Source organism: Homo sapiens, chromosome 8 (genome assembly GCF_000001405.40).
Source record: "Homo sapiens chromosome 8, GRCh38.p14 Primary Assembly".
NCBI classification, from domain to species: Eukaryota; Metazoa; Chordata; class Mammalia; order Primates; family Hominidae; genus Homo; species Homo sapiens.
The window spans coordinates 27947675-27970977 of record NC_000008.11 but is presented as its reverse complement, the minus strand read 5'-3'; the positions used below and the strand labels follow the sequence as shown (position 1 = coordinate 27970977).

Here is a 23303-nt window from a genome sequence, read left to right as displayed (position 1 = left end):
TTGCCGCATAAGAAATTACCCTAATACTGAGCAGCATAAAACAAATGTATTCCTCTTGCAGTTTCTGAGGAAGTAGTGGGTTTTTTTTTAAAAAAAAGCCAAAATTTTGTTAATTTTTTCAGATAAATTTTGCACACACATATGTCTATATAATCTGGGAGGACTCCAGGGACAACTTAGCAGAGTAGTCCTGGCTCAGGCTTTCTCAAGAGGTTGTGATGCAGGAGGAGCAAGCCCCAAAATTGGAGGGTTCTTGGCTTTGCCCAGGAAAGAATTCCAGGGTGAGCCGGTGGTGTTAGTAACTTTTATTGAAGTGGCAGTGCACGGCAGTAGCAGAGGTGCTGCTCCCTGCAGAGCAGGGCTACCCCATAGGCAGTGTGACCAGAACAGGAGCTCAGAGGCAGTTCTAGAGGCCTATTTATGCCCATTTTTAATTATATGCAAATTTTGGGCAGTTTATGCAGAAACTTCTAGAAAAAGGGTGGCAACTTCTGGGTTGTCAGGTTATTGCCATAGAAAGGGGTGGTAACGTCTGGGGGTTGCCATGGCAATGGTAAACAACATGGCACTTTGGTGGGTGGGTGTGTCTTATGAAAAGCTGCTCCTGCCTCGTCCCTTTTTTAGCTAGTCCTCAGGTTGGTCTGGTGTCTGAGCTCTGCCTCTGGAGTTGAATCTTGTCTCCTACCTCGGTTGCAGTAAAGATATTGGCCAGGCTGCCATCATCCGAAGCCTTGACCTGGCAGGAGGATCTCCTTAGAGGCTCACTCACCTACATGGCTGTCAGCCAAAGCCCTCAGTTCCTCACCACATAAGCCTCTCTGTGGGCGCTCATGACATGGCAGCTGGCTTCCCCTCAAACAAAGGTTCCAAGAGAGAAAGGGTGAGCCAGAAGGATGCTGCATGTCTTTGGTCTCAGTTCAGAAGTGACACACCATTACTTCTGCCATGTTTTATTGGTCACACAGGCCAATCCTGGTACAACGTGGAAGGGGGTTGATTGCAGAAGGTGCTGGGATCGTGGGGGCTATTTTGAAGGCTGGCTACCAGAGTGGGGCTTTTCCACAGTGGATGTTCCATAAATGCCTGTTAAAGTTTTTACCCCTACAATCCTTAAGTCAAAAGCTCTACTTTTATTTTTAATAGACTTTGTTTTTTAATAGTAGTGTCAGATTTATAGCAAAGGCAAATGGAAAGTACAGAACATTCCCATATACCCCGCCTGCCACCCTTCCCATGCACAGCCTCCCCCTCTGTCAATATCCCCACCAGAATGGTGCATTTGTTACTATCAGTGAACCTATGTTGACACATCATTATCTCCCAGAGCCCATCATTTACATTAGGGTTCACTCTTGGTGTTGAACATTCTGTGGGTTTGGCCAAATGTCTAAGGGCATGCATCTACCATTACAGTATCATACAGAAGAGTTTCACTTCCCTGAAAATCCCCCGTGCTCCGCCTGTTCATCCCTCCTGCCCTCCCAATCCCTGGCAACCACGGATCTTTTTACTGCCTCCATAGTTTTGTTTTTCCCAGAATATCACATAGTTAGAATCATACGGTATGTAGCTTTTTTAGATTGGCTTATTTTACCAAGTTAATTACTCATTTAACATTCCTCCATGTCTTGTCATGGCTTGATAGTGCATTTTTAAAAAAATTATTTTTAACAAAAAAGTAGGCATACGTTTTGCCCTGGCTTTGCTGATAGGATCATTTTGGAGTGTTTGTAATCTTCTGCTAAGTTTAAATAATTTGAAAGGTTTACCCAGCTAACATGCTTCTGCCACTTGGAAAAAAAAAGTCCATAAATGTGTTTTGGGCAGCCTTTGTGACTTGTCGTTGTCTTAAATTGTCTTCTTTCCCTTGCAATCATTCTCTAAGGGCCTTGCCAGATCATTCATGTTCTGCTTGTCTAACCATTTGTGGGAAACCTCTATTTGAAACCCTCATTATGTTCTATTTAAAATATACTTGGTTTAATGCACAAAGTAACCAAGTCTTGCTCAAAGAACTAAACTCTCTCAAAGGAAGGTCTGTGTTCTGCGTGTTGGTTGACTAAGGCACCTGTCACAAGTAGGTGCTTGCTATTAAATAGAAGCCTCAGGTAGAGGGCAAGGGAAATATTCTTTTTAATGGGGAAAAAATAGACATCATTGCACATTGACCCACTCCTACAGTGAACTAGCAACACATATGAAGATGACAAAGGCAAACTTGAAGTTAACTGTGTTCACGGCTGTGTGATTTTCCTCCTCCTATTCTGTCATGAGGCTAAGGAGACAGCAGGGCTCAGAGCAGGAGAGCTGAAACTACCACCATGAGAATGAAACCAGTAATTGTATAATATTATTCAATGCTATACCTCCTACTCTGACTCTTGAGAGGAACAGAGTTTTCTCTGGTAAGTTGCAACCAGACAGCTAGTGGCTCTCACCAGAAGGAAAAAAATAAAAGAAATGCTACCAGGAGCCTACATATTTAGGAGCAAAACCCTTTGTAGAGCCTAGTGTATGGTAAAGGATGGAAAATCCCAGAAAAGGTTTAGGGTGAGTTAGAAAGATGTGCTCTATTTTGTCTTAGCGGAAAATCAGCTCAACTCTTCAAAACTTGCTAATGTAAGGATGAGTGAGAATAGTCATTGACAACTTGCTCGACACTGCACCCAATGTCTTATGGAAATATTATGTAATAGCTCTGTTTAGCTGGTTTAACAGCAGTATTTGTAATAAAATGAAGTCAATGAGTGAGAAAATGTTCCTTATATAACAATACCTCTGGGGGACCAGGGCAGTGTGGATCGTAAGGTACCAATAGTCACCACCATTTTCCTTGTGGTCATAAAACCTCCTGAGGCCAAGGAGGTAGTAATGATACCTGGGAGGCGATATGTAACCTTTGAGGTATCCTTGCAAATGGGAACCTATGAAGGAATTGCAAACATGGTACTATCCTTCAGGATGTTTTCTAAATATCAATTATTTTAGCCTCTCTTGACAACCTTTTTCTGCCCACTCCAGTTAGTGACACTCCTCTCCTCTCCTTTCCTTTTTCCTTTCCTTTCCTTTGACAGTCTTACTGTGACACCCAGGCTGGAGTGCAGTGGCGTGATCTCAGCTCACTGCAACCTCTGCTTCCTGGGTTCAAGTGATTGTCCTGCCTCAGCCTCCCAAGTAGCTGGGATTACAAGCACGCGACACCACGCCCAGCTAATTTTTGTATTTTTAGTAGAGACAGGGTTTCACCATATTGGCCAGGCTGGTGTCGAATTCCTGACCTCAAGTGATCCACCCACCTTGGCCTCCCACAGTGCTGGGATTACAGGTGTGAGCCACCGTGCCTGGCCTTAGTGACACTCTTGAAGTGGGGACAGTCCTTCTGGAGAGGGGTCTTACCCACAGGGGGTAAGGAACAAGCATTAAAGGGATAAGCATTTTTTAAAAAAATGCCGTCCCCCCGCCGCCCCCACCCAGTGATTCCTACATGCCCTGCTAACATCAGGGAGAGGATCCCTTCTTTCCACTTCCAGTCAACAGAGCAGCTGGAGATCAGTAAGCCTCTTCATGGGCCATCTGAGAAGGCCACCTTGAAGGACCAGTTCAGCTAAAAGATCAACCTGGGTCCTGGGGCCGGATTTGCTGCTAACTGACATTTGACATTCTTTATCTGTACAACAAAGGGGTTGAATTACATGGCCCAAAAGGCCACTACAGCAAGGATATTTCCCTGTTCCATTTTGAGCAGAAGCTGAGGAGTGTCACAGGATGAGGTTACCATGTTTTCTAGCAAATCTAAATGCAAGGTTGCAAGCTGGTCAGAACTGGCTTACAGATGTGTTTTGTTTACACTCCCCAGTGTTTTGTGTTTGATGAATTAGTTGCCAACCCTTAAAAATAGATGTAGAAAATTCTGGATCTGGCCACACCCACCACTCATCCCTGCATAGTAGCCTCTGCCAGAGCAGGCACGTGCCGTTGGCCTCCCCACAGTCCCACTGGGCCCATTTCTCTCATTCCCATACCTTCCCAGCCACTGTAGAAGTTTGAGTTTGCAACTCCTGTTTTAATTTCTCTTTATGTTCCCTGGATCCCATGGGACAATGACACTTTTTAAAGCCACATATCCAAGACTATTTCAAGGTCTTTCTGCTGCTTGGACTAGCTCAAGAAGAGTTGGTTTTTGTGAGCATGTGAGCTGTGGACATGTGATCTGGCTTGATCATGAACACAGAGAGTGGGAGGAGAGCTAGAGGCTGAATGTGATGGTCCTGGAAAGCTCCCCATCAAGTGGCTGCATTCTAGACATGCAAAAGGGATGTGAGAAGTTCAACATGAACATCTGCATGCATCAGGGAGAGATGAGACCAAAAAAGAAAAGAGCTTATGGGGTTTTTAAGTGTCTTCTTTCCTTCCTCCTCTTACCCTTATTGTCCAGGTCCATGTCACAAACGGCGGGCAAGCATCTGCTGTACCCAGCTGGGGTCCCTGTCGGCCCTGAAGCATGCTGTCCTGGGGCTCTACCTGCTGGTCTTCCTGATTCTTGTGGGCATCTTCATCTTAGCAGGTAAGAGCAGGCCATTTTTGTCCTGGTCTTTTGGGATGAGGAAGGAAGACCTGGAGCTTCCACTCTTCATTCCCACTGTCATGAGCCCAAACACTGCCCTTGTCACCATGGAAACCATAGAGGAAGAAGGAAGAAGCTCTTCAGTAGTATTGCTTGTTTTGCGTGGGAGTAGCTGGCAGGGGCTATGTGAGCTTGTGGAATCAAAGAGACCAGCAGTAGAGACCTAGCTGCTTGGAGTGGCTTCTGACTTTTCCTGCATCATTGTGGGGCATTGTGCATTACACTGGGCCTCCCTGGGCCTCTGGGGTATGGTTTGCTCTGAGAAGGCTGGGCGTTGTCTAAGCTTCTGGTCCTGGGGTGCCATGAAAATAGTTGTGAGGCACTTTGCTTCCTGGTAAACCTGCTGCCCTTTGCAGTTACTGTAGGTAGAATGGGTTTGCCCCAATTCAGCCAGGCTCTCCTTACCAATTTCTATCTTTTGAGATGGGCAGGCGATGGGCTAGGGCTAGCATGTTCTCCAGCCATGGAGAAGGAGAGCTCATGGACTCAAGAAGGGATGGAACAGGAGCCTGTTGGCCCCAAGCTGTGAGCAGCCCAGCTCATCATCTATAGGTAGTCCCTATGAAGACAGATGGTGAAGCAGATGGCTGTAGTGGTCTTCTCCTGACTCCCTTTGAAAGGAAGGGCTGCTCAGTTCCCACCTTTCTCAGTGGAGGTAGGTAGGACTGGACGCAAGTAAGGCTGAGAGATCAGTTTATTTCCACCCAACATGTCTCACATGAGTACCTGCCTTGCAGCAGGCTCCATGCTAAGATTGGGGGCACAGCTAAATAGGACCCAGGGGCTTCTCTCAAGGAGCTCCCAGCCTAGGAACTGAGGGGGTCATGCAGATAGAGCCCTGCCTCAAGGCAGAATGCAGCGGGCACTGTGATGGGGTGTAGCCCAATGCGATGGTGACAGAGCAGGCACATAGAGGGAGGTGCGGCTGCTGCATGAAGCAGGTGGAGTTGGTGGGAGCGAGGCTGCTGGCCAGGCCGAGCTGACTTGGAGCACTGAGGGAGGGGCCCTCGGGTGAAGCCCAGGGCAGGAATCTGGAGGTCCAGCCCTTACAGATAGATGACCTTTTGCTGGAAATTTTGAGGCAAATGGCCAGGACCTCCCCGGTCTTGATTCACTTTCCGTCAAGCGGGACTAGTCAGTTGGGTGATGTAATGGGGTGTTCAATGCTGCCTGAGCCTTCAGGTTTCCACACTCAGGGCAAAGACATTGGGGTGGAGTCTGTCCCATCAATGAGCAACCTGAGGGGCAGCCAACAGCAACAACGAGAGAACCTCATTATTCATCCCTGGGACCAGAGGACAGGGGCCAGCAGGGTCCCTCGCAGGCCGAGTGGGCCAGAGGAGGATTTGAACATGTTCTCGGGCTGCTTGGTGAGAGCTTGGGATCTGAGTTTTGTGGGTTTGGCTGCGAGGACCATAACAAATTTCTGGAATGTTCAGAAAGCATTCCAGCCCAACAGGAAACCAGAACAGGGACTTTTAGGTGACAGATACAGAAAAGCTCTGCAGAACAGGAACTTTTAGGTGACAGATGGGGGTCTGGAGGAGAGGGACCAGGCTGGTGGGGGGTTTGGGGCAGGCCTCTGGAGGTCCTGGAAGGGCATCGTCTCTTGGGGAAGAGAAGACTTGCAGTGGAGTGACGGTTCTCTTCTGGTGTCTGGATGGCTGCCATGTGGAAAGGGTAGACATACTCTATGTGACCCCAGAAGGCAGAGCTAGGACCAACAGGTGGATGTTATTAGGAGACAGATTTCCATTCAAAATAAAGGACAGTTTGCTAACAAGTAGTGCCGTCCAGTATGATGAAAAAAAGGCTTTCTCCTGGCTTGGAGATTGAATGAGGTTTATAATAATGTCCTGGAAGCTTCAGAAAGGAGGGTGGAACATGGTTTCCCAATCTAATAGAAATGTTGCCATACCTCCTTAATTGTTCCAGCATTTTTCTGATCATTATAATTATCTTAGAACCTGAAGTTTCTGGGTACCACATTGCCTGTGTTGAACAAAAATTTGGGGTGGATTGGGACGGAGCTGGTGCAACAATGTCGTACCTGATCTCTTGGCCCTGGGTGTGTGGCCGCTCTTACCTCCCCAGATTCTTGTCTGGAGAATCATGCTGGCCTCTGGGGGAGGTTTGGTGAGGGCAGCATAGGAAAGGGACTTGGCAAGATGGTGGACAAGTCTGAGGTTCTTTAAGGAGGCTCTGTCTGATCTTAGAGAGGTTTCTTAAGATTGCCTGATTGAAGACCTCAGCGATGCTCCTTCTCAGAGATACCAAGATCAGGGGTCAGGGGAGATCCACAGTCCAGTGTGAAGAAGAGCTTGCCTGGCCTTCTGTTGGGTGTCCTGCCATGGGAGAGGGCTTCCCCTTCTTGGGTAGAACTCACTGCCTGTGCCCAGAGAGGTCACCTTGCACAGGAGATCCATTTAAACCATTCTTAAAACCTCCTTGTCAATGCAAATCTCATAGCTCCTACAACTGGATGACAAAATTGTCCACTGCAACCCAGTGCCATATCTGAATATGGGATTAGCAACATCTCGGTGTGCAAATGCTTACTCTTACTGTTTCCCAGTATGAAAAATCTGTAATCAAACTACACCAAAATATGAGTCTTATAAGCCCCACATAGGACTTTTCTCAATTCATCTTCTTGCCCAAATACTGAAAGTAAAAGGCAAACATGTACCTCACGTTTATGCATTATCCAAGTTTACCTGTTTGAAGGTTAATCCGGCCACCACCCAAATTATTCTATCAGTTGGATTCTGCCCATCATCCAACCTGACCAGTGTCCTCCTGGGAGCTTTACTCCAATAATCCCATGCTGGCACTGGGTTCTCTTCCCTTAGCTCATAGCCTGTCATCATCTCCCAAGGAGACGGCAAGAGCCTCCTCCTACCTCCAATACCTCTAAGCTTTTCTATCTCTTCAACACATTTTGATTATTACCTTGGCTGACCGTTCCCTATTATGTTTTCATTCTGTTCCCGATTCATTTTTGAACAGTAGAGACCATCAGGTTTAAGTTCATGAACTAAAGAATTGAGATTGCCTGGTCGTGTGGCCAGGGGGTCCTCAATCCAGCACTTCAGGCAAGATGTCCTTTGCAATAGAATTAAGGGGTCAGAGGGAGCTCAGTCTTACCTATGGCTCTTCTAGGCAGTCACTGTGGTGACTGGGTGTGGTCATCAGGAACCATCTCTTCTTCCCCTTTCCTGAGACAGCTCTGTAGATAAGTCTGAATTCTCACTGTGGAAATGAAACAGCAGAAAGGGGAAGTGAAAAGATCTGGGATTCGAATGTGGGGTGAGGCTGCAGCATCGCAGCAATGTAGCAAGACCACTGGTCTACAGGGAGAGTCCCTAGGGAAATATGGGCTCCTCCTGCACCTTAAATTAGTTCTTTTCTAACAGCACCATTCGGTCGTTGTCATCATCATCCTCAACAAGTGCTGAATTTGTTCATGAGTGTTCGGTGAGTGCAGGGCAAAGGGACAAGCCCTAGGAATAAAACGTCATGAGATGTAGGCCCTGCACAGGAGGGTTTAAAATCATGAATACATACACCCATTGTCGGGCAATGTGACGTAGTTTCTGCTGTTGCCAAATTATACAAAGGAGAGCCCAATCTCTGAGGGCTGGAATGGTTGGGGAAAGGCTTGGCCTGCGGAGAGTTGTCCACCTGGCTTTGAACTGAGTATCCCTTTTTTGGATCACCTTGTTTCAAGCAGGTCTGTCCCTGGACTTTGCAGGAAAGAACAATATGCTCAGAGCCCATGTCCATCTACACTGTAGCTTCCTGATTCTATCACGCATCTTGGGAATAGGAGCATAATGCCATCAACCTTTATTGGGACACTGTCAGAAACAACCCTGTGAAATTTCACCCCTTGTGCTTATTGTAAGAATGATGTTGAGGATGTTATTTGTTGCATTACACAATGCTGTACTCAGGGGACCCATGCACCAATTATTTTCTGTCTCAGTCATAGAAGGAGTTATGTGTTCCTCGAGGAATTTGTTTTCACCTTATGGAGACTGTGAATCTGAAAGTCTTTAAAATTACTTTCAAGGAGGTAATTAACACAAACTTAAGAGTCAGCTGTCATCCCTTGTATGAGGATATGTGAATTTGAAGGTCATTAAAACAAAAACCTGGGGACAGAATTGTGGTCCACCTGCAGCAAGTATAGAGACTTCAGGAAAGCATTTTTGTGTTAGTCTCCTTCCTGGCTTCATTCGGGGTCTCTCTACTTGATCTTCTTTACCTGCATCTCATCTACTTTAATCTTAGTGTAGTTAATGTATCCTTGTGAATTGCCTTAATTCTTTACGGAACAAGGAAGGGTATTATGTACAGTTTTATCTTTACAAAAATTTCTGCCTATTCTACTTGATTCTTCAAATGCATGATGTTTTTAATATGTGAATGAATGACAGAGACAAGGGAATCTAGAAAATATTTGTAGAAAAAAAAGATGATTATTTCAGTTTTAACCAAGTACCTAATTGAGATGAATATGGAATTGCTACCCAGGGACATTTAGCTAGTAGAAGTGGCAGGTGTGTGATTATATTAACACATCTACCATGTTATATACTGCATTGACATTACAGCATTTAAGAAGAATATTGAGACAGGCAGGACCGTGTAGACTTCACGCTGGTTACAAGTAGGGACTTTGGAGCCAGCCTGTCTGAGTTGGAACCCTGGCTTCTCTATCACCAGCTATGTGACATTGGCCGAGGCACTTGGCCAAGAACTCCCTTCTCTGAAAACGGGGGAAATCAGCGTACTCCCTATATTAGTCTGTTTTGCATTGCTAAAAAGGAATGCCTAACATGGGATAACTTATAAAGAAAACAGGTTTATTTGGCTCATGGTTTCGTAGGCTGTACAAGCATGGCACTAGCATCTCCTTGGTCTCTGGTAAGGCCTCAGGAAGCTTCCAGTCATGGCAGAAGACAATGGGGAGTAGGCACGTCATGTGGCAAGAAACAGAAAGGAGGAGGTCCACCGTCTTTAAACAACTGGTTCTCATGTGAACTAATGGAGCAAGAACTCACTCATTACCATGAGGGGGATGCCAAGACATTCATGAGGGTATCCACCCCCATGGTCCAAAGACCTCCCACTAGGCCTCACCTCCAACACTGGGGATCTGACTTCAACATGAGATTTGGAGTAGTAGCTATTGTTATTGCTGGCATTGGTATTACCACTATTATTAGCATCGTCACTCTTACTTTTTCTTCGTTTTCTTTGCAGTCAATTAACCTTGATAGCATAACCTAGGGTTTAGCCCCAGGTTATCTGTGAAGGCTCTGTAACCTTGGGAACATCACTTTGCTGTCTGAATGGGAGTTCACCCATTTGTAAAGTGAGCAAATTGGGCAAGATTGGTGGTCTCAAACATTTTTTACCATGACCTACACAACCAGTACACACACATAAGCATAGCTGAGATAATACTTAAATTTGTAATGCCTTTCTACTCTATTCTATTTATGTTTTTTTAACATGATCACAACTCATTTATTTCATAATTCATGAACAGGATATAAGCTGTAGTCTGAAAAACAATGGGCTACATGATACTTCTATTGTTCTCTGTGTCTTTCGAGCATTCTGGGAGTAGCTATATTCTCTTCAGGATATGGACTTTGAGGCCAGACTTCTGGGTTCAAATCGAGGCTGTACTATGGAATGGCTCTATCATTTTGAGGCAAATAATTTAACCTCCAAGGGACTTGGTTTTTTCATCTGTACAATGGGTTGATCGTGGTGCCTACCCCATGGGGCTGTTGTGAGGACTGAATTAAATAATACATGAAAAATTAAAACTCTTTCACTGCCTGGCACGTAAGTACTCAGTAGGCTGGGACAGTGGCTCATGCCTGTAATTGCAGCTCTTGGGAGGCCGAGGCAGGAGGATTGCTTGAGCCTAAAAGTTTGAGATGAGTTTGGGCAACATAGTGAGACCTCATCTCTACGAATAATTAAAAAATGAGCCAGGTATAGTGATATGTACCTGTAGTCCCAGCTACTCAGGAGGCTGATGTAGGAGGATCACTCGAGCCCAGGAGTTCAAGGTCGTAGTGAGCCATGATTGCATCATTGCGCTCCAGCCTCAGTGACAGAGCGAGATCCTGTCTTTAAAAAAAAAAAAAAAAGTGCTCCAGAAATATTTGATATTATTATTCCCACAATCAGAGACAGTTTGCTTTCAGAATAGCAAAGGATTACAGACCTACTTGTTTAGCCTGAACACCCAGTAACTTTGTCTATAAACAGAACTAGGCTCAGTGCAGTACGTGTCCATATGCACATGTTTCCAATAAACACACAGGGAAGCCTGGAGACATTGTTGGAGAGGTCCTTGAGGTACCGTGACAGCGCAGGGCTCAGTAAGCCAAGAAACAGGAACAGAACAGCATTTCCAGGATTGTAGCTCTTTAGGGGAGGGAGCGATGGAGCCAGCAATGGCTCCACCCATGGCACGGAGATGCTTAGCTTCAGTGGGCATCTCCTACAACCTCCCTCCCGACTTCCCAGACAGACATGGTGTTGTGCTTTTCCCAAAAAACAACTGCGAGTCACAGAAACCCCTTCCTTGTCCTCCTTGACTTTCCCATACACTGTTTCTAGTTCTTCTTGCCGGAACAAATCATATCATAACAAGGCATTCTCCTCATCCTCACGATTGCTCATCAGTGAGTTGGTAACACCAAGGAAAGTGAACCCAGTTCCTCCACCTTTGTGTCTTTGGGCCCCGGTCTTCACACTCACCATGCTGTATTGCAATGATTGGTTTCTGTGCTGGCTCTCCTCCTAGTCCGGGAGAGCTCTTTCATGATAGGGCACCGCACCTTGTTCACAGCTGTCCTCCCACTGCCTACCATCATGTGCCACATATAGCAGGTAATTAATGGAAGGATCAAATTGAATGTCTCAACAGAATAGCCATCCTCCCAACAGGCTCCAGGTGTGAGTAGTCAACAGAATTAGACACCACTCCTGGGGTGGCCTAGCCAGGGGGGAGTGTGCCAGGCTGTGACCATGGATGTTGATATTAGTTTAAATTCTCATGAGACTTACTATTTTTTCTTTTTCTTTTTGAGACAGAGTCTCACTCTGTTACCCAGGCTAGAGTGCAGTGGTGCAATCTCAGCTCATTGCAACCTCTGCCTCCCGGGTTCAAGCGATTCTCCTGCCTCCGCCTCCTGAGTAGCTGGGATTACAGGTGCATGCCACCAAGCCGGGCTAATTTTTGTATTTTTAGTAGAGACAGGGTTTTGCCATGTTTGCCAGGCTGGTCTTAAACTCCTGGCCTCAAGTGATCTTCCTGCCTCGGCCTCCCAACGTGCTGGGATTGCAGGCATGAGCCACCGCGCCTGACCTCTCATGAGACTTTCTAGTGACACTCATAGTGATACACGACCCTACATCCAAATGATGGAATACCATGCAGCCCTCAATGATCAGGTCAGATCTCCTCCTCACCCCATCCCCAGATCTCTTTCAAAGGAAACCATTGCCTAGTAGGTGCTCCCCCATTGCGTGTCAGTGCCACTGGCTTTGTTGGTCTTGTTGCTTCAAGTTAAATGCAGATCTTGTCAGCGATCCCAGTTAGATGTCAGCACACTGGTTTCTGCCAGGTATTGCAGTCTGCTGGATCTGTTTGGCTCTGGACTTGGACATCTGTCATTTATTTTTAACAATCAGCCTGTGCTATCAATCATGTTGGAGCCAGTGTCCCAACCATGTCCCTATAGTCCCCATTCTGTAGCCTGCTGCCACGCGTGCAGTTCCCGAGAGGACATGACCCAGGGCTTGCCAGCCCGTGCACGCATTTCACCCCTTGTATCCTGGGAGGTGAGTCAGGGTCGTTTGAAGTCCCCCCAGCCTCTTCCTTAGACTCAGACTGCACACACCTGGGCAGGTCACTGTACTTCCCCTGCCCCCACCTCAGCTCTGTCGGGCTGCCCTAGCCATCAGAGCTTCTCCTGCAGAAGGCACCTCTGTCTCACCTCAGACCCCGGAAGAGGGGGAGGAGGAGGGATCAAGAGCCAGTTGACACCCTGAGTTTCCCATGGAAGATTCCACTGCCCAGGGTGATGCCTCTGACCACGCCTGAGCCGGGTAGAAGTTGGGGGCAGAGACAGCTGAAACACTGCCTGCGAATCTGACAAGTACTCCCTGTTCTCCAGAGCTTCAGCCAAAGCCCTACTTACAGCACTCAGGACACTGCAGAGCACCCATCTCTCAGCTCCATCCCACTGCAATCCTTCTAGGCAAAGAGCCAAATCCAGCCACCACCTGTTTTTATAAAGTTTTACTGGAACACAGACACGCTCATCCATTTGTGTACTGCTTGGCTGCTTTCGTGCTGCAATAGCAGGGCTCAGTAGTCTGTGTGCCTGCAGAGCCTAAAATATTTACTACCTGGCCCTTCACAAGAAAACCATTTGCCAACCCCATGCTAGGCTTCACTGATCACTAATTAGCCCTTTAATCCTTCCTCCCTGGATTGCAAGTTATAGTTTTCAGAGATTTTTGCATACATTGTGTCATCTAATTCTTACAACAATCCTAAGGAATCCAGAAAATAGCTCAGTTTATAAATGAGGAAACTGAGACTTAGACGCATTGCCTACTCTGGCCCACGGCCCCACAGCTGGGGAATGGGTGCCTGGACTGCAGCTGGGAATGGCGTGAATTCAGGGCTTCTCCCACCCGAGCCTCCTGGTCTGAGGCAGAATCTAACACCCAGTGGTGAAGTGCATGGCACCGGAGTCAGACTGCCAGGGTACAAACCGTGACTTTGCCAATTGCTATGTGACCTCAGGCAAGTTTTTCAACCTACCTGATCCTTAATGTCCTCATCTGTATAGCAGAGCAGAAGGGATTACTCTGCCCACTTCGAAGTGTTGTGGTGAGGATGAAATTAATTCATCCGTGTTAACCGCCTAGAACAGTGTTCAGCAGGTGGGATGTATCATTGGTGTTTGTTAAGTGATTTATAACCGGGTGTAAGTGCCACAGACTGCACAGTAATTCAGCTTCGAATATCAAGAGAAACATGTCAAGTGCTTTGATTTCTATCCCAGGAGCCAGGATTGGAGGAAACTTGAGAGTCATCATGCAGTGCCCAACCCTTGCTAAGAAAAGGAGCTTTTCTATTTAAGCAAAAAGAGAAAGGGAGTGGGCTTGAGTCCACCCCTCCCTTCCTTCTGCAGCTTTGCACCTCCCTGTCCATGCCTCGGCCTCTGTGCCTCCTAAACCCACCTCTCCTCTTGCTTTCTGGAACTATCTTCTGCTGGGTGTGCCCAGAGCTACCAGGCAGATTTTGCCATTTACTGGGGGCTTTGAATTTTTACTGGCGTGGAAGCTGAGCAACTAATGAGCTCCCGTCCTCCACCCTTTTGGAGAGAAGTTATAAGTTCTGGGAATTTCTGTGACAGTCCTGCAGGCATCGTGTCTTGGCTGACCTCGCCCAAGGCTTGGGGCCCTCTCCCATCAAATCCCAAACAACAAACACTTACCAGGTGCCAACAACGAGCCTAGCACCGAATGAGACACAGGGAGATGGGAAGAGAAATAAAGAGAGGCCCCTGCTATGAGGATCATACTGACTGGCAGAGCAGATATGCATAAAATATGCTATCAAGCACAGGGCAGATCAGAAGCTTGAGAACTAGGAAAACCTGAGGTCAAGTATTTGATCATTTATGAGCTGTGATCTGGGGAAATTGTTTAAACCTCTCTGGACCTCATTTTTAAACACCAATAAAATGGGGATAACAATGAGTAATCATCAGTATGATGAAAATTCAGTGAGATAATACATGAAGTGCTTTTGCACAATGCCTGGCTTATACTAGGGCCTCAATAAACATTTCCCTGTAAATCTCAGAATAGAGGTTTCTGAGAAGTCCCAGTTTAATTCAGGGAAGAAATCATAGGTGTCCGTTGCTGCCCATCTCTACCTGCTTTACTTGTAAATCTCAGGCCTTGTCCCTTTTCTCTCCTTTTATATATGCATATATATTATTATGGGTTTGGGGATGTATGTACAGGTTTGTTACATGGGTATATTGCGTAATGGTGTGATGTGAGCTTCTAGTGCAAATAGCATCACTCAAGTACTGAACATTGCACCCCATAGGTAGTTTTCCAACCCTTACCCTCCTCCTCTTCTCTTTAACTGAACTGTCTTTCTAGTGACTGCCATCAAGTTCCATCAGATTCCATCTCTGTCTTCGCCAGAATTCCACCTTCTCGTGGCCTCCCCACTTGGTTATTTAACAAACATCATCTCAAATCCAATGTGTAATCAGAAGTCTTGACTTTTCTCTCCCAAACCTGCTTCTCCTCCAGTCCTTTCCATCTCTGTAAATGACACCATGATCTACCTGAAACCAGTGCATGCTGCCAGCTGTATCTCACCTGCCCCCCATGTTCATGCATCAGAAGCCCTGAGGAGCTCCCAGCACCCTGACCTGCACCCCTCCAGTCGTCGACACATAGAGTTGCCAATGTTAGCCAATAAAAATACAGGAGCCCAGTAACTTGAATTTTAGATAAGCAATGGGTAATTTTCCAGAAAAAGTAGGTACCAAATACTTGGTGGAAGCACCCAGGAGGGAAAAGGGGGAGGCAGAAGGGCTCTCACATTCCTGTCCAGTCTTCAGTCTTCAGGAGGTGGAGGGTGGAATGTTGGGCAGTGGCCCTCCCTGGTCTGTCTCTGTTTTTAGCAGAGCCTACTGGCCCCTCGCTGGGACCTCCAGGCAGATGGTGTGTTTGGTTTTGTTAGGACAATGTTCAGCTTCACCCCATGCTTCCAGCTCAGAGACAGGAATCCCAAGTCTTCCTTTGCCTGTGTGGCCTTCCTCTGTGCAGCCCAGAGTGGCCCGGCAGCTGGCAGCATCCCTGGGTGCCTGCCTTTCTCTATGCTCCTTCTGGAGGCCTCATATTCTCTGAGACCCTTTTTGGAGCAATCCAAGGGATGCAGGGAACTGGGGGTAGGGTGGCCCCATGCTGTGCTCCCGTCTCGCCCTGCTGGGAAACCCTGGAAGAGGTGCATGATAGGACATCTCCCAGGGTCCCTCGCTGTGTTTCTGTCTGGTAAGAGTCCCAATCTGAGCTCAGCTGTCAACTAGTGGGGGTGCCAGTAACACTGGTCACAGGGATCCCCATCTCTAGAGGGGTCTCTGGAGCCCCTGGATGAACATGGGGTGGGGCAGTGACAATGGTGTCAGAAGTGACTTGTAGGATGCCAAGGTGCCACCTCTGAGGGTGGGAAGTGGTGGATCCTACAGAGCCCCCACCATGCTGAGTTCCGCTGGATGGAGTGCTTCTGCAAAGCACTTTGTTTCTCCTGCTTGTTGTCAAAAACAACAGTCTGGCAGGCTGTCTTCTGTGAGACATTTTCAGTGTATTCTCTGCCAGAGCTTTGGAAAAATGGCATCTTTCCGGGAGGAGTCAAGGAAAGAAAGGCATTGCTTATTTACCAATTAACACTTGTCCCCTGACCATTGGCTGCGGCCATTTAGCACATCTAAACAAGCCAGTTCCTTGAGGAAGTCAATGACCTTTCAGGATCTATAAAAGTAGTTTATATGCTTTGGCTCAGAAATCCTCTTCTATTTGTCTCCAGGAAATGAGTACAAAGAAAGAAAATGGCATATGTATAAAACTCAACCACATTCTTCATAATCACTCAAAGCTGGAAAGAACCTAAGTGTGCAGTCTCAGAGCATTGTTTAAAAGACAGTTAACACAAAGGAGTATTATGCAGCCATTTCAAATGTAACTATGACATACATGAGAGAGTGTTTATGAAATTGCGTTAAGGGAAAAAAAGAGCACCCCTTAGTGTGTATACACTGTGAATGCTGTTGTGCAAACAAACATATATTACAAAGGGCAAAGGATGGAGGGGAATTTAGAGAAATGAAAACCGTGGTGGAGTGGGTGGGAGGTTTACTGGTACACATTCTCTCAATTTCCTTAATGTTGTTGGGGTTGTTCATAAGACCACCCTTTTAAGAGGTCACAGGAATCTTCTGTCGCCCCGAGAACACAGCCCCCAGCATGGTGTTGACTGCCCTGGTGGAGGGGCCAGCTGGCCTCTTCTAGTCCTTTTCCTGGTTTAAGGTCCCTGACAGCAGAGGGTCCTGGTACCTGGGAACAGCCAGGGACAGAAGCTGGGTAAGTGCCCTGAGGACACAAGCAAAGGAGAGACAGGGTGACAATACAGTCAGAGCTGGGAACGATGAGTTCTGCCCTCAGCTTTGTAAATGGGACGGAGGCCCAGGGAGGGGAAGTGTCCTGCTCAGGGTGGCAGAGTGGGACCTGCATCAGAGGCTCCAATCCCCCAGGAATCCTTGCCTCCCTCCTCTGGGGTCTCAGCCGCTCCTCAGATGCAGACCCCGACTTTCTGGAGCCCCACTGGGCTCTTGATGCCTATTGCTTTGCTCTGCCAATTTAAAAAAAAAAATCTTCAACCTTTTTTGGGTGTAAACTCACTATTCAGATGCTCCAAATTTCCCATACAATGTTTTTCTAAGGTGACTCCCCCAATGGGCCCGACCCTCCTTCCCGTCAGGGGCACACCCCAGGGTTTTGATCTGAGTCTTGGAGCTTGTGTCTGCCTTTGGGCTTCGCCATGCATCTCATGTGTGTTCTCATAACTCTGAGTCCTGATTTCTTTGTGTGCTAGCAACTGCCGTCTAGAGAGCTCCACGTGAAGGGCACTGGGGACTTCTGATTCAACAGGCCCAAACCCAAACTCACTGTCCCCTCTCATCGCAGCCTCCCTTTTTTCTCCCTTCAATTAATAACATAACCGTCTAAGGTATAAGATCCACTTTATGGAGTTACCATCATTGTTTAAACTGAATCTCCACTGTCGGACCCTCTACCCAGCTCTCTACCTGAGGGGCTGGACAGAGCAATGCGTCAATGAAAATACACAGCTGGCAAGTGCAGGAGATGTAGGGCTGCTCCTTAGCTGGGGCCCCAGTGGGTGGCCCACCGCATCCTCCGTGGGCAGGAAGAGCAAAGGGCTCCTGCAGCAGACCCACCCATGCCTCTGTGCTTCGGACTCTCGAGACAGCCTGAGAGGCCACCTTTTCCTGATCTTTTGAGAGCCTCCTTGTTTCTTCAATGTCCTGGCCCCCTGGGTTCCCTCATGCTTCCATTCCATGGCTTCCTTTTAGCCTTTGGCCCCGGTTGTCGGCCTTTGGGCCATCTGCTTTCCGTCTGGATTGGGCTGTAGGAAGAGAGAAAGGATGCAGGGCAGGCCTCTCTGGCTCTGCTTCAGGGTCTGACATCCACATGCATCTGACATTTATCCTGCAAAAGTGATCTGCTCTAAGCAATACCCTGTTCACTCTTGTGCTAAAAAAGAGTTCCTGCCTCTCTTTCTCTTTCTGACTTTTGACAAAAGGCTCCCTTCTGTTATCCTGGCTTGGCCTGTGCTTGGTTCCAAAAGGAACTGGGTATGTGTTACGACTAGAAAAGGGGTGAAGAGAGAGTGGGAAAAAAATCCACTCTGTCTCACAGTGTTTCGCTACAATAAATAATGCTTGCACACAGTCCATTGTCCATACGGCCAATAATTTCCTTAGGATAGGTCCCTACTTGGGGTATTGCTGTCAAAGTGGGTATATGTTTAAGGCTTAATAGAAAGACTGCACCAATTTGCAGGGAATGATAGGATTTTTCATTATTCTGCCTCTCTGCATGGCTTGTCACTCTCAGGCCCACAGGAAGGTCTTGCTGGCTGTGAGGAGTGAAGAGTACAGGGCTAAGGGAAGTAGCTCTGCAGGGTCTGCAGCCTGTGTCCCCTGGGTGATGGCAACGAAGGCAGAAAGCCCCCTGACCACTCCCTGTGCAAGGACTTGGTCCATAAAGACTGGGATCTCCACCCCAACCCTTGATCTCCAACTGCCAGATGGTCAGAAAACAACCACCCAGCTGTGTCCATCTCCTAGGACTGCTCAAAGTACCTCAAACCGGGTGGCTTTAAATAACAATTTATTTTCTCACAGCTCGGAGGATGGAAGTCCAAAAAAGGCACGAGCAAAGGCTGCACTCCCTCTAGAGGCTGTGGGAAAGGATCCTTCTTTACCTCTTCCAGCTTCTGGGGGTGCCAGCCACCCCTTTGTTTCTTGGCTTGTAGGCTCATTGCTAAAATCTGCGCTCCCATCGACACCCAACCTTCTTCCCTACATGTCTGTTTCTGTGTCCAGATCTCCCTCTTCTTCTAAGGACACTAATCATATTGGTCCCCAACCCAATACAACCTCATCTTAGTTTGATTACACCTACCAAGAGTTTATTTCCAAATAGGTTCTGGGTGGACATGAGTTTGCAGGGGACACTATCCTGCAAAAGTGACCTGCTCTAAGCAACACCCTGTGCACTCAGGGCTAAGAGAGCATGTCACCTGGAGCTCACATGTCCCTCCTTCTGGGTCATGCTCTGAGGACCTGGGACTGGAATTCTCTGGTGTGTTCGAGTTCGCTCGAAGTCATTCCCCGTGAAAAATGTTGAAAGGAAGAAGGGATTCCGGACCTCCTCTTCTCCAGCCTTGTCTCAGGGAACCTCCCCTGCATGAGGAAGAGGAAGGATTTTCCTTCCTCCTCTGGGTACAGGAGGCACATTCCCTGGCGTGGAGCACACTTGCCTTCTGCCTTACCGTGTGGCCATGGGCAGTCGCTGATGGCACCGTGCAGGACGGGACGGGCCTCTGCACCGGAGGTCCAGCCTCGGGTCTCCTGACCCTGGCACTGCCACAAGCTGTGTGACCTTGGGCAGGGGGCCTTGCCCCTGTGAGCCTCGGGGGCCTGACCACTTGACACATCAATGGTCACCAGTCATTCGTTGGTCACCAAGAAAACCCATGTCTACTTTGGGGCTCTTTAAAGGTTCTGTTGGGGGCTCTGGGTTGAGAATTTCTGGGCTGGACCTTCAGAGCTCCATTGGCGCCGATCAGTTTTTGGACCTTGGGAGTGACCACAGCTCCGGCTCCCACACTGCCCTCCTGCTCCACTCAGCACAGCTCTTGTCCTGCTCAGGCATTGATACCGGTTTTCTGTGTCTGACTCCACACTAAACTGTGACCTTTCTGGGGGCACATATATGAATCCCTCTGTATCATTCACTAGCCTAAATTTTAGAATTACATGGACTTGCATTTCAAACCCATTCTGCTCTTTTTAAAAATTCCATGAGTTTGGGCAAATTTCTAAACCTCTTTGAGCACCAGTTTTCTTATCTGTAAAGTGGGGATCCTAAGGCCATCCTCTGAGTAACGTGGAGACCCTTAGATGAGATGATGTATTAAGCACCCACCATTCCTCTTGAGAAGGGGTGAGTCCCTGTGTATGGTACTATAACAGCAGTTATTGGTGAGGTCTGTGGAATAAATGGCTTAGTCCACACTGACCTTTTTTTTTTTTTCCCATAAAGCTGAGTGCTGAAATAGGAGTTTTGTCACAGAGCTCGTTCCGATCGGTTGAATGGGTACAGAGGTGCTGTCTGTTAATATACGCTCAAGGAAAGTGCTGGCACTGGATTCCGAGGCATTGCTAAGTGTCTCAGGTTCCTGAGACCAAGGCACCTGCCCTAGTCCCCATGTGTTAGAGGGCCCCACTCTGTCCCTCTGGCCGCTTCCCAACCCACAAGGTGAGGCATCCTGAGGGCTAAGAGAACATGGCACCTGGAGCTCACATGTCCCTCCTTCTGGGTCATGCTCTGGGGACCTGGGACTGGAATTCCCTTCCCCAAAGCCTCAGCTTTCTTCCAGGTCCTTTGGGCTGTTCTGGGAGAGGGAAACCACGGTGCTGGCCAGAGGGTGACAAAGGGAGGGTTGCTTGCCGGCATTAGGTGGGGATTAGAGTTGGCCGTGCAGGCTGGGATGCCCCCCAAGCACGGGCATGAGGCCTGTGTGGAAAGGGTCTGCTCGAGGATGGGATTGGGGGTGTGTGTGGGGTGGGGGTCTCCTTACAAGGCAGGGATCTGGACCAGGTTCCAGGTAGTCGTGCATATTCCTGGCAACCCCCAGGTCTGGCTCGCGTCAAAGTGCAGACATAGGTGGTTTAATGGCAAAGAGCGTGTGGGTGTCCCTGCCTCAGCCCCTGGGGCTGGCATGCAGTTGGCAGGAGGATGTGCTAGACCCCTTCCCCTCCTTGGTGGCTCTGCACCTGCCCTGGCTGCAAGGACTCACTCCCAGGTGGCCAGTGGGTGGCATTCCCCCAGCGTTTCCAGGCTCTCAGCCCCTTTCTCACCACAAGGAGCCACGGTGGGCTGGCCACATTACTGAGCCTCCCTAGGTCTCTGCTCAGGCCCTGGTGGACCTGCCCAAGGCCAGCCTGCTTGTTCATGCTTAGCAGCACCATCAGCAAGGCCAGCTTAGTCCAGCTCCAGAACTTTCTGCAACAGCCCTTCTTTCTGTGGATGGGCAGTGGCTCCCCTCAGGTCCCACCCCACTGCAACCTGCAGGGCCTCTTCAGGAGCCAGACCCATGTCCCTGGCCCCTTCTGCACCCGGGCAGGCTGTAGGGGAGGACTCAGACCTGAGACACTGCCAGGCAGGGGCTTTTCCCATCCAGCTCCGGGTACCGTGGGCGTGAGTTTCCACGGGGAAAAGCCCTCTTGATGGGATGCGGTTGGGGTGGAAGGAGGACAGGAGGTGAGTCAGGCACTGCTGCTGCTCTCCGATCTGCCTGCCCTGCTTCCAGGCTGAGTTATGCGGCAACAGTGGCCTGATTCCTGAGCTACTCAATCCATAGTGTCCCAAAGACCCCCATGCTCCCACATGGTAGCTGCCAACCTCACCCAACTCCACCCTTACGGTTACAGTAATAATCATATTTCCCATCCAATAGGTTACTTGAGCCTCACCCACTGCTCTGAGGGAGACACTATTATCCCCATTCACAGATGAGAAGACTGAGGTCCAACGAGGTTGATAGTTCTCATAGGAGAAAATAAATAGTTGCTGATTAAATTTAAAGGGCACTGGTGGTTAAGGTCAAAGCTGGGCTGACTCTGGTTTCCTGGTCAAGAGCTCCGTCTCACTAATCCCTGCTGTTCCCCTGTGATTGCCACCTGGCTTCTACTGAGGAAATACAGATTAGCTGGAAAGCCAAGCTCTGAGCCACGTGGGCTCTGCTCATGTGTGATCAAGACAGGCCTGGGCCTCAGGTCCCCTGAAGCTCACTGTTCTGTCCACCACACCACCAGCCTCTGAGCAAGAAGTAGATAGGGAAACTGAGGCACCCCGAAGTGAGGGACAAGGAGGGTGGCTTCCCACAAAGAATACTAGCACCAAGCCAATTGTGGGCTCCACCCGCTTGTGCTTCGTTCATTCAGCCTGGCCATGTGGGTTTTTATAATATCTGCTTTTGCAATATAAACTATGCACATCGATATACACAAACGGCCATAACACCACATTGCAAATTACAAAGCAAAACGCATGAACTCTCAAGGATGGATTTTTAAATTTCCTTGATAAGGCTGGGGCTTATGGAAAAGTGCCCATTCCCGTCTGTAGTCCATTGCTTTCAATTTAACTAGGCGTTTGGGGCTGGAATCGTTTTTTCCTCCCCTTTCAGTCTTGGAGCGAGTCCCACAGCTAGGCTTCCTGCGCTCAGCTGTTTGTTTTTCTTCCTTGGAGAGGGACTGGGGAATGTTACCCACCAAGCCCCGTGGGACTGGCCAGTTTGAAGAGCTCTCCAGGCCCCTAGCTGCTCAAATCCCAAACACATGGAACCGGGCCACACCCTTCGGCCCAGTGGACAGAAAGGCTGGCCTGGCGGTCCTGACCTGCCGGTGGAACGGCCCAGCCCCAGGCCCTGCCGCCTTTGTATTTGATGGAAGAGAAGATAGGGGAAGGGGAAGGAAGGCTCCAGCTCGTGGCTCCCAGCCAGGTCCTGAGACTTCAGTTGTGAAAGCTGAGCTGGGGCCTCCCTGCCTCCCTCCCAGAGGGCCCATATATCTTGTGGCCTTGGGTGTGGCCAAGGCTGAGTCTGAGTAATTGCTTGCCTGGAGCAGCCAGACCCTCCCCTAAGTCACCGCCCTCACCCTGGGGAGGAGGCCTGCAACCCAGCCCGAGGCCAAATCTGTCCTCCACCCCCGACCCCACCCAGCTCCCCTCCTCAGTTACCTTTTAGAATTTTCTTTATTCTGGTGAAATACACAGAACATAATATTTATCATTTTAACCATTTTTAAGTGTAAGGGTCAGTGACATTAAGCATGTTTACATTGCCGTGCAACCATCGCCACCACCCACTAGCAGAACTCTTCATATCTCCAAGCTGAAACTGCATCCACTAGACCTGAACTCCTCATTCCCCCAGCCCCTGGCAACCCCCATTCTACTTTCTGTCTCTATGGATTTGTCTTCTCTTGGGGACCTCATATCAGTGGAATCAGACAGTGTTTGTCTATCATGTTTTTATTTTATCTTTTCACTCTGTCACCTAGACTGGAGTACAGTGGCGTGATCTCAGCTCACTGCAACCTCTGCCTCCCGGGTTCAAGCAATTCTCCTGCCTCAGTCTCCCAAGTAGCTGGGATCACAGGCATGTGCCACCATGCCTGACTTTTTTTTTTTTTTTTTTTTAGTAGAGACACGGTTTCGCCATGTTCAGGCTGGT

The 23303-nt window shown here is 48.4% G+C and overlaps 1 protein-coding gene across 4 annotated transcripts in view, besides 2 other annotated features; it reads left to right on the top strand.

The window, feature by feature from the left end:
- SCARA5 (scavenger receptor class A member 5) overlaps positions 1-23303 on the top strand; it is a 122791-nt gene that overhangs the window by 21696 nt on the left and 77792 nt on the right. For 3 of the 4 annotated variants that reach the window (NM_173833.6, NM_001413203.1, NM_001413202.1), the window contains one exon: positions 4436-4564. The exons of the other annotated variant lie outside the window; for it this stretch is intronic. In NM_173833.6, the coding sequence (NP_776194.2) occupies positions 4436-4564 (129 nt within the window). The remainder of the gene's footprint in view (positions 1-4435; positions 4565-23303) is intronic. 4 annotated transcript variants of the gene reach the window in all.
- Positions 20609-21108: an enhancer, noted in NCBI's record as "H3K4me1 hESC enhancer chr8:27807387-27807886 (GRCh37/hg19 assembly coordinates)". NCBI's record gives its function as "activates a minimal SCP1, AML or CMV promoter by ChIP-STARR-seq in naive H9 embryonic stem cells {active_cell/tissue: H9 hESC(naive)}" and the evidence as "EXISTENCE:reporter gene assay evidence [ECO:0000049][PMID:30033119]".
- Positions 21109-21610: an enhancer, noted in NCBI's record as "H3K4me1 hESC enhancer chr8:27806885-27807386 (GRCh37/hg19 assembly coordinates)". NCBI's record gives its function as "activates a minimal SCP1, AML or CMV promoter by ChIP-STARR-seq in naive H9 embryonic stem cells {active_cell/tissue: H9 hESC(naive)}" and the evidence as "EXISTENCE:reporter gene assay evidence [ECO:0000049][PMID:30033119]".